Source organism: Homo sapiens, chromosome 6 (assembly GCF_000001405.40).
Source record: "Homo sapiens chromosome 6, GRCh38.p14 Primary Assembly".
Lineage (NCBI taxonomy): Eukaryota > Metazoa > Chordata > Mammalia > Primates > Hominidae > Homo > Homo sapiens.
In genome coordinates, this window is record NC_000006.12 from 64,033,142 (window position 1) to 64,047,386 (window position 14,245).

The following is a 14,245-nucleotide window of genomic DNA, read 5'->3' on the forward strand; positions in this document are numbered from 1 at the left end:
CTGTCTATATGTCTACTCTGAAGAAATGTCTAGTCAAGTTTTTGCTCATTTTTCATTACATTATTTGTCTTGTTGTTGTTTCTACTTCTCATACAGTGAGTCAAAACACTTCTCATATAATTTTTCACCTACTCATCGTAAGTCTACTTCCGTTAGAGAAAAAAGGCTCCTTTTACTCTAATAGGCACATAGCTATTAAATGTGGTTTTCTGGTAAATTCTGAAAAGACTTTTTCAAGAGATAAAGATGAAAGTGAAACATATCAAAGTTTTATTCCCTAAAATATTTTAAGTTAATTCAAGAAATAATTTTCATCTCTGAACCTGAAAAAGAGTACTAATAAATAAATTTCTAAGCACGCAATAGTAACTATAATAATAAGGTTAATTACTGTCTAAAATAGGTCAGAAGTCCTGCTGCAAATATTTTTAAATAAATTATGTAAACTTGGACATAACACCTTCATTAATTGTCAAAATTTTTTATCTATTTAAATTTACATTTAAAATATTTAACAGGTTAATTATATTCAGATCAGATAGGTTGCTACAAAAACAAATTTAAAATTATTAGAAAAATTAGAATTATTGTTTTCTAGAACTTCCCCATTCAAACTAGTTATGTTGATAATGTTGTGTATACATACATTCAATTGTTGCAAAGTAATTCTGACACAAATGAGATTACTCTCTCTCTCTCTCTCTCTATATATATATATATAAAATTGGGAGTGGACTTACATTGTTAAAATATACATATAATCTAAAGAATTTGGCCTTAACAAATATTCAGGTGTGGAGTAGCTGAGTAGTATCTTGAACATTTTTACAGTATAGTCTAATTTGTCAGGAGCACTGATTTAATTAACATAAATTCAACAAAACAAAGGGAAGTAAAAATGGATCTAGATTCCTAATAGATTGTTATTGGTCATGCCTGTATTGGGTAATGGTCTGCAATAGCAGGGCAGTCAAATTAAATGGTAGGCCAAATCCAGGGTCCAGTAAGTGTTAGATTAAAATTAAAACAAACAAACAAAAATAAAGTTGAAGACAGAATGATTGAGGGGAGCAATAAAAAGTGATAATACATGGTACTTGTTAATACCACCACTACTAGTACTACCACCACAACTAGCTTACAATTGAATAATACTTGCCAAATGCCAGAGACCAAGTACTTTTATATATGTACTACATATATTAGCTCATAACCTCCAGATGTAGGCAATGTTATCTTACGGTATTTATTTTACAGATAAGGTAATCAAAACACAGGAATGCAAGTGACTTGCACACACTCTCAAGGAGCAGAGCCAGATGGGGCCCCAAGCAGCCTGGCCCTGAGTCTGCACACTTAACTCTTATCCCAGTAGTTCCCAACGCCATCTCCACATTGGAATATCCTGGAGAGACTCAAAAAATAACAGTTCTCAGGTCATAACCAAGAGCAATTAACTCCCAGTCTGTGGGAGTAGGACACAGATGCCAAGGGTTCTTGAAGCTTCCGAGGTGATTCCCATGTGCGACCAAGTTTGGGAATCTCTGTACTATGCTATGCTGTCTTAAAGTTGTAGAGGTCAAAGGAAGCAGAGTTATTAGGCCAGGAAATAATCCATCTATGGCATTAAGAGGAATAATGGACAATCAAGCATACAGTGAATAATGACAAGCAACACGAGGCATTCTCTTACAACTAAAGGAAAAAAAAAGAGTCTAAGCTGCAGCAAGATGAAATTATATATTTCTATTTTTAATATCTTACCAAAGCAACATGTGGTAATGAGAATTTTAAGGAATAAGGCATCTGCTTTCTGTTTGGAATTAAAAGGGATATTATGTTTATAAACAGAGAATAGCTAGACGTCAATGTCTGGAGATTGTCACAGCTGAAGGGTGGGGTGGAGGCTACTGACATGTAGCATAGAGAAGCCAGGGATACTGCTGAACACGTGGCAGTACACATGACAGGCCCCACAGCAAAGACTTATCTGGTCCTTAGTGTCAATAGTGTCCAGTGTGATAAACTCTTTAATAATGACTATTTTAATTACAGAGACAGTAAAGAGATTAAGTGAATTCAATTTTTCTTCATCTAGGATTATGGTTAATTTGTGTTTACTCAACAAGCATGACAGATTTATATGACAGTATTAGAATAATTACAACAACCATTGAATTCCTAGAAACTATACTTTCATGCTAGAAAATTCTTTAGATGTGATGGTAAATGCAGTTATAGCCTTAAAAATCTATGACTCATAGGGAGGAGAAAGAAACTAGGTAGGGCAGGGCTAGATATGGAATGACATCTCAAACATGTCCAGACCACTGAATGAGGAAATCAGAGCCAGGTCTTGCAAATACTCCGATGTTGGTTCTTTGAAGCCTAGGTTATGTTTAGTTTCACCTGCCTATGAAGAAGTAATACACTTTCTATGAAACCAGAGTAAAGAATCATGTAAGATGCAACTACATCCCTGAAAATGTGCAGGGGAAATTTGACACTTTACTCAAAGTAATGACAGTAAGAGGACAACCTTCAAAGTGATGCATCTTATTTTTTCTTATTGCATAATAATTGTATTTTCATGTCATCCTAAATGCTTTTTTCTTTTAAAACATTTTTCACTGCAGTGCTTTAAAAATTTTTAATTTTTATCTCTTTAAATTCTATTACTTTTAACCTTATATAAGAAAGTGATTATTAGAAAATCTGATTATAAGTTCTCAGAGATTCACTCTAGCATATCTTATTAAAATTGGATTCTGGGCTTAGCTCTGAAGTTTTGGTTTGGAAAGCTGTACTTCTGATCTTCTTGAAGGCATTAGTTTGTGTTAGTACTAAAGAGTAGTGCTGTATGACTGAAAAGATTTTGAACTAGAATTCTGATTTACACTTGTTCTTTCTGTAATAACCAAAGAAGTAATCTTCTAAGAGATCTTATACAGCAAATTTTGTTGTATAATACAGTAATGTACAGTGACAACTTAGATCTAGCTGGAGAAGTATTTGTTGCTTCTCTGCCATTCCAGACTAGGAAACAGCAAATGCAAAAGCATGTAAAGATGATAGAACTTAAAGTATAATAGAAAAAAAAAGATGATAGGACTGTTAAGGGTGATGGAGTTTGGGTGCAGAATGGGGAGTGAGTAGTGAGAGCTAATGCAGGAGCTACGTCTCAGATCATGGATGGCCTTAATAATCATACAAATAATTTTGGGTATAGAATATTGAAAACTTAATTTGGAAAAGTAAAATAATGAGATTTGTAATGTAATGACATTGTTCCAGACATTAGTGACATTAATCTGGAATACTATAGAAGAGTTATTATTCTGGAATAATGTGGAACAATTTTAATCTTAATCTTATGGAAGATGGATTAGAGAGGGTTAGTGTTTAAGTAAGGAGACCATTGAGGAGCTACAGACATCACGCAGGTGAACAATGAGGGCATAAACTAAGGCTGTCACAGTGGGGATAAAGAGAAAAGGATAGTTTGAGTTACTGAGACATTTAAGGAGTAACAAAAACTTGGGCCTGGATTGGCTGTAAAGTGTATGATAAAGAAGGAGGCTAAGTAAGACTCATACTTACTGATTTAGGACACTGCTAAATACTTTGCCTATATCTTCTCTTTCAATCTATGATGTAATAAATGTTATCTACCTTCTACAGATGAGGACACTTGGCTTAAGTAACTTGCTCTAGACCACACGGAGGATAGTGGCAATGCTAGGATTTGAACTCGGGACCATCTAATTCCAATGCACATGATTTCAACTATTCTTAGTAACTAGGATGAGTATTACAAGAGGAAGAGAATATTTGGAGTGTGAGATAAAATAATGCATTATGTTTTGGAAATGTGGAGCCTCAGATGGCCATGGAACACAAAACTAGATCATATAATAGGCAACTAAGTGGAATTTAAAAATGTGGTTATATACTACCCTGTCACTTTACATTACAGCTTATTGTATTTTATAATGATTACAGTGGCAAATATTTTTATATTTTTCCCAAATCTAAAAAGACTAGTGATAATGGAAGATTGTTCCAGAACATATTGGGAAGTAGACTGTGGAAAACGGTCCTATTAACTTTTTCATTAGTCATTTTTAACCACATTATACATTAACACTTCAGTACACTTCACAAAATAGCAATCTGGGCTTTGTATTCAACCACATTTAGTACAAAAGTGGAAACTAAATTAAATACAATCTAGAAAACAAATAGTGCAACAAATTTCATGAATATTAATAGAAAACCAGACAAATGTATTTGAGTTTGCATCACAAAATGTGCAATTCATTCTTTTATGGAATTGCTATTTTCAAACAAAATAGATTGCTATAGTCACTTAAAAATGTAAAATGTGAAACATCCATGGAAAAAAGATAGGCAAAGATTATGAGAAATATGATAGATTTCCCAATGAGGGAATGAGGTTTTGAATAAACTACTCCCCTTGGCAGCATCTTAACAAGATCATATTCAATGAATATGAATCATTAGTAAACTATGAAACAATGAATAAACACACACATGCAGATGAGATGCTAGGTTGCTACGGATTTACTAGCTATTCCATCTGTCATTATTTCTGATTTTTCACCTCCTCCTAAAATCATTAATAGGGTACAGAGTCACTGTGAATTTTATGCCTGCCTCAAAACACAGAAGGGTTTAATTTATTGAATGATATTTTATTAGTTCAGATGAGTTGAAATGTGGCATTTCATTTTCTAAAACTGTGGAAACATCAATCATATAGATACTTAAATTGTAATTTAGGCACTGGGTAAAGTTTCAATTTATCTGAATAAAATTGAATAAACATCCAAAATGAACTAAAACATATTTTAGATCAAATTGACTTTTTCTGATTAGTGGTCATTTAAAATCTCCTTATGCAAAATTAATCAGGTGCAATTTCTTTTATAAAAATAAAGAATAGAATGGTGGTTACCAGAGGCTGGGGTGGTTGAGGCTGGGGGTTAAGTGGGGATGTGGATTGGGGGATGTGGATAGGGCAGATGTTGGTTAAAAGATACAAATTTACACTTAGATAGGTTGAATCTGTTCAGGAGGTCTATTTCACAGCATGGTGACTACAGTTAGTAACGATATATCATTTTCTTGAAAAATGCTAAGGAATGCCTACTAAATATTCTTACCATGAAAATGATAACTGTGAGGTAATATATATGTTAATTAGCTATATTTTAACCATCCCATAATGTATGTGTACTTCAAGACATCATGTTGTACATGATAAATATATATGATTTTACCTGTCTTAAAATAAACAATACATTAAAATAAAAGTCTTATCTTCTAGAGCTGAGGTTTTGTCACTTTTAATATCCACATTCCTAATTGACTATCAAAATCCAGTACTTCATTGTGCAATATTAGGATATACTTTATATATCCTAATAGTTTATAAAATTATATAAAATGTTTTATAAAATTAAGTAAAAAATATTGTGTGCATAAAAATATCATGGGCAATTTCTTTTTTCCTCCATTTTTTTAATGATATGAGACTAATTCTTATTCTGAAGATGTCTTCACAAAGTAGAACATTTTTAAGTGGTTTATTTACTTTATTCTACCTAATTTTCTTTTTACTTTTGTTTTCTTTTTCTTTCTTTCTTTTTTTTTTTCTTGAGACGGAGTCTCGCTCTGTAGCCCGGGCTGGAGTGCAGTCGCGCGATCTTGGCTCACTGCAACCTCCGCCTCCTAGGTTCAAGAGATTCTTCAGCCTCACTCTCCTGAGTAGCTAGAACCACAGGTCCCTACAACCGTGTATGGCTAATTTTTGTATTTTTATTGGAGACAGGGTTTCGCCACATTGGCCAGGCTGGTCTCAAACTCCTGACCTCAGATGATCTGCCCGCCTTGGGCTCTCAAAGTGCTGGGATTACAGGTGTGAGTCTGTTCTATTCTACCTAATTTTCAAATACCTGACTGGCCTATTCTACCTAATTTTCAAATACCTGACTGACAAATGTAGAAATCAATATATCAGATACTTTGGTCTACACAAAATAAATTTCTTAATAGATCATTCATTCAGACAGATTGAATTTTTACTTTAGATAAGAATTACTTAGGTAAGTATTATTGTGATGGTTACTAAAGAAGAAAACTGAACTCTTTTGGACAGGAATCTAACTCAAGTCAACTGCTTAAAGGAGAGTAAAATTTCTGAGGCATGGTATTGCAAAGCAAGGGAATACATGTTAAAAATATTAGAAGCGGTATAGTACGAGTAAATTTGGGAAATTTGACTTCAATAAGCATGTTAGAGGGATAAATAAAAGAGGAAGCTCTTTCCAGATTAAAGTTTTTACCTATGAATAATTCTACTTTTAAATAGATCCCTGGCAAGACATTCTGGGTTTGAGAGTCTGGAATTTTGCAAATATACTGGTTACTAACTGGAATAAAATATGTGCTGCAGTCTTAAAATTTATTTAAATGGGAATATAAGGTTGCCATTGTTTTAATGGCAAAAAAAAATGTTTCCATGAAATTTATTTATGAAATGAATGTGTGGTTGTAGCTTGAGAGGCAGGAATTTAGGTGATGAGGTAGAAAGTTAGAAAGCTACACATTTTATTATTTTTGGATTCTCCACAATTTTTAGAAAATTCTCATAATTTCCCTTTTCTTTTATTTGTACATATTTGATTATTTTGCTATTATCAACAATTTTAAGAATTTTGATGTGCAGAATTAAACTTAATAACATAGGGATTATTTCTAAATCTTTGATTTCCACATTGCATACTTAAATATGTTCTTAGAAAGATAACCTCATAGCACTGAAATAGATGGAAAGAAGAAATTCTTGAATGGCAATGTGTCCATATGGCAAGATAGAGCTTGCAAAGTTAATTTTTCTTAATTAGCAGTAACTTAATCAGTTCCAAGTTAGAACTGAAAAAACGTTTTCAGTTCTTTTGTAGAGGTATCCTTTTAAAATAATTCTTATCTCTGCATTTCCATACCGTGTAAATTGAGAGTTTGAAGCTACTATATTTAAATCCAGCAAACATTTTGGCACTAAACCTTTGTTTCTGTCTTTTGTGCTTGTGGTAATGTGGTGATATATGGAAGATGCCTCAGAGTTACTAGTAATGCTATGGGGGTGGTGGTGAATAGCAGGACAAAAATTACTTAAGTGTAATTTGGAATTGTAGTTGGAATGCACTTTCATTTCATTATGTGTATTTGATAACTCATTGCTTCTGAAAATAATCAATCTTGTGAAAGTTAATGAGCTTTTAAAAACTGTTCTATGTAAACATTTAGGTAGAATTTTAAATTTTGTATTATTTGGAACATATACCTATTGATTTTCAAATGTTAATTTGGTTTTATTTTCTGACATTTTAAATTGGTTTTGGAAATTTTAATATGGCGCACAACTAAGATAAAAAGTATTAGTTTATAACCTAGACCCAAGATTGAAAAACTAAGGACAAAGAGTCAAATACAGCACACTTAAAATTTTGTTGGAACACAGCCATATCCACTGATTTACACATTGTCTATGGCTGCTCTAGAGCTGCAGTGACAAAGTTGAGTAGTTCAACATAGATTGTATGGCCTGCAAAGGCTAAAATATTCATTATCTGGCTCTTTAGTTTGTCAGCTCCTTATCCTCGAGCTCCTAAAAAGCTGGAGCTGAGCTTTACAATTGCCTATGAAAAATAATAATTAAGGGCACTGGTATAAGGGGGAAAAATACAACCTGTGTTTAAATAGAGGTATTCATTTCAAAATCTGCAATCAGATTTTGGTTCATAGAAAAGAAAATTTTAAAAATTAGAATAGACTCAAGAGAAGGTATTCAGTTACATTTTAATTTTAAACATGGTCATTTACTAAGCATGGGTAGTGTGTTTGTAATTTTAGATGACCTATACCTTTAAGATTTCTGTCCCCTTGGGGTGGAGGTGGTAGTGGAGCTTTGCCTCTTTAGATAGTGGGTGATAGACTCTGCTGATTCTGACAGAAAGGATCATATGGACCCCCACAGTTTGGAATCAGTTCCATCATAGATCTGTACTTGTGTGTGTGTGTGGTGTGTATAGTGTGTATGAAAAAAACAATTCCCTTAAACGTAGAACTAAAGTAGACTAAAATAGTTGCAGTTTTCAGGAAAATAAGAATCATGGTACATACAAATTTAAAAGTTGGTTGAATACGGGAAAAATAAATTTTCTGGTATTAAAGAGGTCTAAAATGCAGCCTTCAGTATTGCTCGTTGAAAACACTGAGCCAAAAGATAAGTGCTTTCTATGTAGAAAATGGTAAGTGCTTTGCCCTTTAAAAAGAGAATCCAGAAAATGTTGCCCTTTTAATGTCCTGTAGCCTGCCCTGGATTTGAGGATGAACAGAGATGGCACTAAAAATGATAAAGCAATAAATCATAAACCACCAAAATTCCTTTTGTATCAAAGCTCTTACATGTTCAGAAGGCAATAACAATCTTCAGTACATACCAATTTCCCTATGTGGGATGGAAATTGGAGAAACTGTGACAGAAAATACTGAATAGGAATAAAACTGTCTTTGCCTCTTTCATTTTCGTTATTTTGAAATTTTTGCTGTCCACATATTAATTGGAAATCTTAATATATCTAACTGTAAGTTTATATCTGAGGCAGAAAGAAAACAAATATGGGTCTGTATGTCAGCTGGAATCCAAAGTAAATATGATCTTTTTTTAAATGTTCAAAGCATTTTAGGTTCTTTTCACTCTCATCATGTGTTACCTGCCTTTGCTTTTCATGCATTTGAAACTCACTCACTCCCCTCTTCATAGTTCTTTTTTAGTTTCTAAAATACCAGTGTAAGTGAGAAAAGGTAAAAAGCTGTTAGAAAAATCTCTATCCTTTAGAAAGTTCACTAACACACAAGATAACATATTAATGATGAACGAGAGCGGAAATTTCTTTATACTTAAAAAAGTAAGAATTATAAGGCAGCAGGTCATATTTTTGGTTAGTGATGGACTGGACTTGGAGTCATTTGTAGAATTAATTTGGAGTACTGGTCAGGATCAGGAAATAATAATTAATTCCATGATTATTAAAGTTTCTTCTGAATCTTTACAATTTTTACATAAATGTGCATGCAATGCCTTGCTTCTCAGTTAGTAACAGGGCTTAACTATTTTGTAAACCACTTTAGGGAAACATTTAGCTAGTGACTGGAAAATGGGGAATAAGTATGCCCTGCTCTATTCCAAAAGCATTTGACTTTGGGGTTACTTTTCATGGTAGAGTCAGGACAATTTCTATTAAATGCTCATACAAATAGGAAGTGCATGTTTCTCCACTGTGTTCGGAAGACTGCGAACAACAGACCTTCCATGAATATCCCAGGTAGTGCCTTGGGAAGAAAGCTCTTTGTCCATTTTGTGCACACACTTCCCTCTTTACCTCTCCAGATTCACTTCTTGTGACTGAATGGAAACCACAGTCTTTATACGACCTGAGTTCAATGTAGTGGCTTTTCGCTTTTTCTTCCAGGACTTTGTAATTTTGTATATCTTTTTGTTCTCTGGACACTTAAGATACTCTTCCTGATCCAAAGATCAGGAGTCGACCACGTACTTTTAGGCTGGTCTCGGCTGACTTGCCTCTAGTCAATTAACATTTTCCTTTGTCTCCGCATCCACCATCTTTAAGGACTTCCACTCCACTTTCCTCATGTCATAAACTTTTCTAAAACTGCTTCCATAATAACATAGAGTGCAGGTTCTGGGGCCAGGTTGCTTGGGTTTGAATTCTAGTTAGCTGGGTGACCTTGGACAAGTTATTTACTATCTCTGTGCTCAGTTTCCTCTTCTATAAAAAGGAGACGATAGTAGTATTTTTCTTATAGAGTTGTTATGATGATTAAATGTTAATCATCTTAAGAACTTTGTTTTTATTTAAGTTGGGTCCCATAAAAGTTTATGACATAGGTACTGAATAGACATTTTTTAAACTAATGATAAAATACCATTTTCACCTAATAATTTGTCAATTTTATAAAAGATTGAAAATATCTAGTGCTGGTGGGTAGGTGGGCACTGCTGGCAGGAGTATAATTGGTACAGCCTTCATGTACAATATGAAATGCACCACAAGGCTCAGTACTCCATATATAGGTAAGCATCATTCTGGAATGTTTATAGCAACAGGATGAATATTTATTGCATGCCTTACTGAAGAGCATGGGGACATCTAGATTGCATGCGTGTCACACGCAGGTCATGAGGAGCCAGGACCGCTACTTGATCACTCTTCAGCCACTTCCCACCATTACTTTTGTGCCATCACACATGCACCATGTTGGAGCCAATGCTGAGTTCAAAGATAGAGTCCTCTCGAACACCTAGAGGTTCTGACACGAATATGCCCATTACTTTCTAGTTCCTCATTTTCCTTTGGATAGTCCTGTAGAATCACCTCCTTTTCTCAAGGGTTGGGTAGGTCCTTGAGGGTACAGAGAAGAAGATCCTGGCAATCACTTCACTGATCTACTCCAAGTATCCTTATAATACTCTCTAACACTGTTTTGCTGTAGATTCAAGAAAGTCATTTGGAGGTCAAATCTAAGAGGCTTTGTTCTGTGTGGTAACTTCCTGGGTAAGAAGCCTCAGCTTTGGATATGGTTGATTAAAGCAGATTTAAAGATGAAATGAAAACACACTTATTTAATATGCCACCATTACTGTTCCCCTTAAAATATAAAGGGAAATACACTAAGTAAACTTCTTGTTCATTGTTATTTTCAACTCCACACGTAACTTGAGGAACTTTTCATGAAAACCTTCCTTCCCCTGCAACTCCTGGACCTGGGGAGTGGTTTCATTAGTTATGCTAATGAGGCACATGTTCAGTTAGCTTTGTTTGTGAATCCTTGTGCATGTTAATATGTCATATTTCTATATCTTTTGAAAATAGGATTCCAAATATGTTCAACGGTCTTTTCAGCAAAAAATTTACTTCCTTTTTAAAACAGTTTATTGGAAAACACATATTTTCTATCTTCCGTTTTATGCTGTTGCAGGTCCTACATTGAATGGAAAGTTTGTTTCAAAATAATTCCATTAATTAACAGAGAGCCTTGATCACTGGTTAAATTGTGATTTATCTGCTTTTGTTCACATCTAGATTTGCTACAGCCCTTGCATTACTGGCTTTCTGCCCATCAGTATTACCTCAAGATGATTTAAAGCAAAGGCTTTCTGGTTAAAATGTGATGAAGGCTAAAATCAAAATGGCAAAGAGCCGGGGAGCACTTCAGGTGGAACGTAAGTTCACTTATGAGGTAAAGCACTCATGTAAGGTGAGTGGCCATACCCTGGTGTTCAACTCAGCTTGAATTTTAGCTGAATAATTCTGTGCAGCTCCATTGGTTACTTAATGTAGTTATGAAAATGTATTTGCCCTTTGGTCTTCGACATTCCCCACACATGTCTTAGAGTGCTTAACATTCTTTCTGTTCTTTTCAGGGGAAAAATTTACTTTTTCTTTTTTACTGTTGCTTATAGAATATTTTGAGTGATTTTTTTTTACTTTAAAAAATATGATAAACTTTATGGTGAGAACATATGATTTACTATGCCAAGCTGTTTTGTTGATTTAGCTTCCAGATGAGCACAAAAATAAAAGGCAGAAGTGAATAGTTTAGATCAGAGAGTAGATATTACAAACCAAATGACAAATATAACTCCTGAAAAATATGAAATGCAGTGGTTAAAATTAAATTTAGACCTAATTCCCTTGGGAATTAGCTGTATGTAGAACATTGTATATAGAACATTGAGATAATCTTTGGCATAAAAAGATTGTCTCATTGTAATCAATCCAGTGGAAAAGGAAAAGTAAGATGGCCCTTACTCAGCCATCTTTCTCTGTGAGCACACAGGCCATTCATAGAACAAACATTGCTTTCAGCCAGCAGCTACTGGGGTCAGAGTGAGTCGTCTCCATGACTATGTGTGCATCCTTTGGCTACAGGCACTTGCCATCTGATAATGAAAACTCTGACTAATTTTTACTTTTTTTTTAATAATGAAAAACTTTTTCAGGAATACTTTAAAAAGGTGAGTGTAAATATTTTAAGTTTGTTGACAAACGTTTTTACTGAGGTGGATACTGCTATTATTTCCCTATTTTTCCCGAAGAGTAACTCATTTTTTAATGTTTGGGTGAAACAAGTTTATTTTATTTTATTTTATTTTATTTTATTTTATTTTATTTTATTTTATTTTATTTATTTTATTTTATTTTATTTTTTGAGAGAGAGTTTTGCTCTTATTGCCCAGGCTGGAGTACAATGGCATGATCTTGGCTCACTGCAACCTCCACTTCCTGGTTTCAAACGATTCTCCTGCCTCAGCCTCCTGAGTAGCTGTGATTACAGGCACCCGCCACCAGGCTCAGCTAATTTTCTGTATTTTTAGTAGAGACGGGGTTTCACCATGTTGGCCAGTCTAGTCTCAAACTCCTGACCTCAGATGATCTGCCCGCCTCGGCCTCCCAAAGTGCTGGGATTACAGGCGTGAGCCACCATGCTTGGCCTGAAACAAATTATTAACAACTGTTAAATATTATGCAATATGTAATATTATATATATGTATGTATGTGTACATTGATATATATGTATATATGCATAGATATGTGTCATGTAATATACACATATGTACCATACATTTTATATATGTAATATATAATACATATATGTTTATTATATATGTAATATATAATACATATATGTGTGTATTATATATTTTATATATGTAATCTATAATACGTATGTATTATATACTTTGTATATGTAATCTATAATAAATATGTATTATATATTTTATATATGTAACATAATATATGTATTATATTTTATATATAATAAATATCTTACATATATTTACATATAATTACATATGTAATGTATTTAAATACGTTAGAAATATATTTTACATATATAAAATACATATGTAATATATTTTAGAGATTTTTAATATAGTTGAGAACATTAGCTTCTTGAGGTTTGAGATCAGGCCTGAATCTTGCCTGCCTAACAGTAAGCAGTGACAATTTGAAGGGATCGATTTCAGACCTAAAATACAAAAAGGAATCTAAGGGGAAGAACATTTAAAATGTCTCCTGTCCGTATCTATCTATTGATTTATCTGTTTCTCTCTCTCTCTCTCACCATCTGTCCATCTATTTGGATTCACCAGAGGATGAAAAGGATCATCTTTATGAGCATCTTGCAGTGAGCTGGGAGGACACATGCTGGCTTGTGCCTACCATCTTCTACATCTTAACTTAATTCTGAAGCATGAATTTGACCTGAAAGGAGGCTCAAGCTTTATTCTTTTTTTTTTTTCAACCAGAAACACAATAGAATTTATTTCCTTTCTTTTTACTGAGGGAGAAACAGTGTCCTGGTAGGGGAATAGTATTTTCAAAAGCTGCCTAAGTGTCTTTAAAAACAAGAGGACAACTGAATTGTAAGTGCTGCCTTTTCTCTAAATAAACTTCATCCAGTCAGCACATCACACACTGATATTCACATTCGATTATATTTCTTACCATCAGAATATTTCTTTGCCTGAAAAATTGTTTCCATATTTACTACCTCCAGATCCTCCCCTAGGAATGAGGTATAGTCTGTCAGTAGGTCTGTGGCTCTATACATTTTCCATTCTCTTTGAAGTTTGTAGGACAGAGGTCAGGGTTAGCTTTACATTCTCTCTCCTCTTTGAAGGTTGTAGAGCAGAGGTCAGGCTTAGCTTGCTAGTCACTGCAAATTCCCTTTATTCTCATAATATGCTGTGCTAAGTGTTAATGATAACATGGGACACCAAGGATATTTCACCTAATGACTTTTTTTCCCCCTCTCATTATTCCATATTTGAAATTAACCAAGTATTAAAATTAGGCACCTTTTTCCCCAGGTAAAGATGTTTTTCAATTCCCATCTCTAATTTTAAAGTGTGTCATTAGGTTAAAAAAAAAACAAGATAAAATTGTGGTAATTATATTATAAACTATTTTGGTGAGGAGAAGTAATAATTCAATAATTCCACTTAGGAGACCAGAGGTTGTTATTAAAAATGATCTGTAGGCAAAGAGAGAGAAACAAATGGGACCATCATCAGCAAAAAACAACAGAAACACAAAAACTGATTATATCAACGTGCGGTAGGGAAAA

General features: G+C 33.8%; 1 protein-coding gene and 1 long non-coding RNA gene across 4 annotated transcripts in view, besides 1 other annotated feature; one reads left to right on the top strand and one right to left on the bottom strand.

The window, feature by feature from the left end:
* The window catches only part of LOC107986608 (uncharacterized), a 94,049-nt gene extending 82,637 nt beyond the window's left edge, over nucleotides 1–11,412 (top strand). For both annotated transcript variants that reach the window (XR_001744190.1, XR_001744188.1), the window contains one exon: nucleotides 11,193–11,412. This is a non-coding gene — a long non-coding RNA (uncharacterized LOC107986608). The remainder of the gene's footprint in view (nucleotides 1–11,192) is intronic.
* Nucleotides 1–14,245, bottom strand: part of EYS (eyes shut homolog) — a 1,987,247-nt gene that overhangs the window by 313,162 nt on the left and 1,659,840 nt on the right. The window lies entirely within an intron of this gene.
* Nucleotides 13,635–13,929: an enhancer, noted in NCBI's record as "tiled region #10142; HepG2 Activating DNase matched - State 5:Enh". NCBI's record gives its function as "activates a minimal TATA promoter and a strong SV40 promoter by Sharpr-MPRA in HepG2 cells {active_cell/tissue: HepG2}" and the evidence as "EXISTENCE:reporter gene assay evidence [ECO:0000049][PMID:27701403]".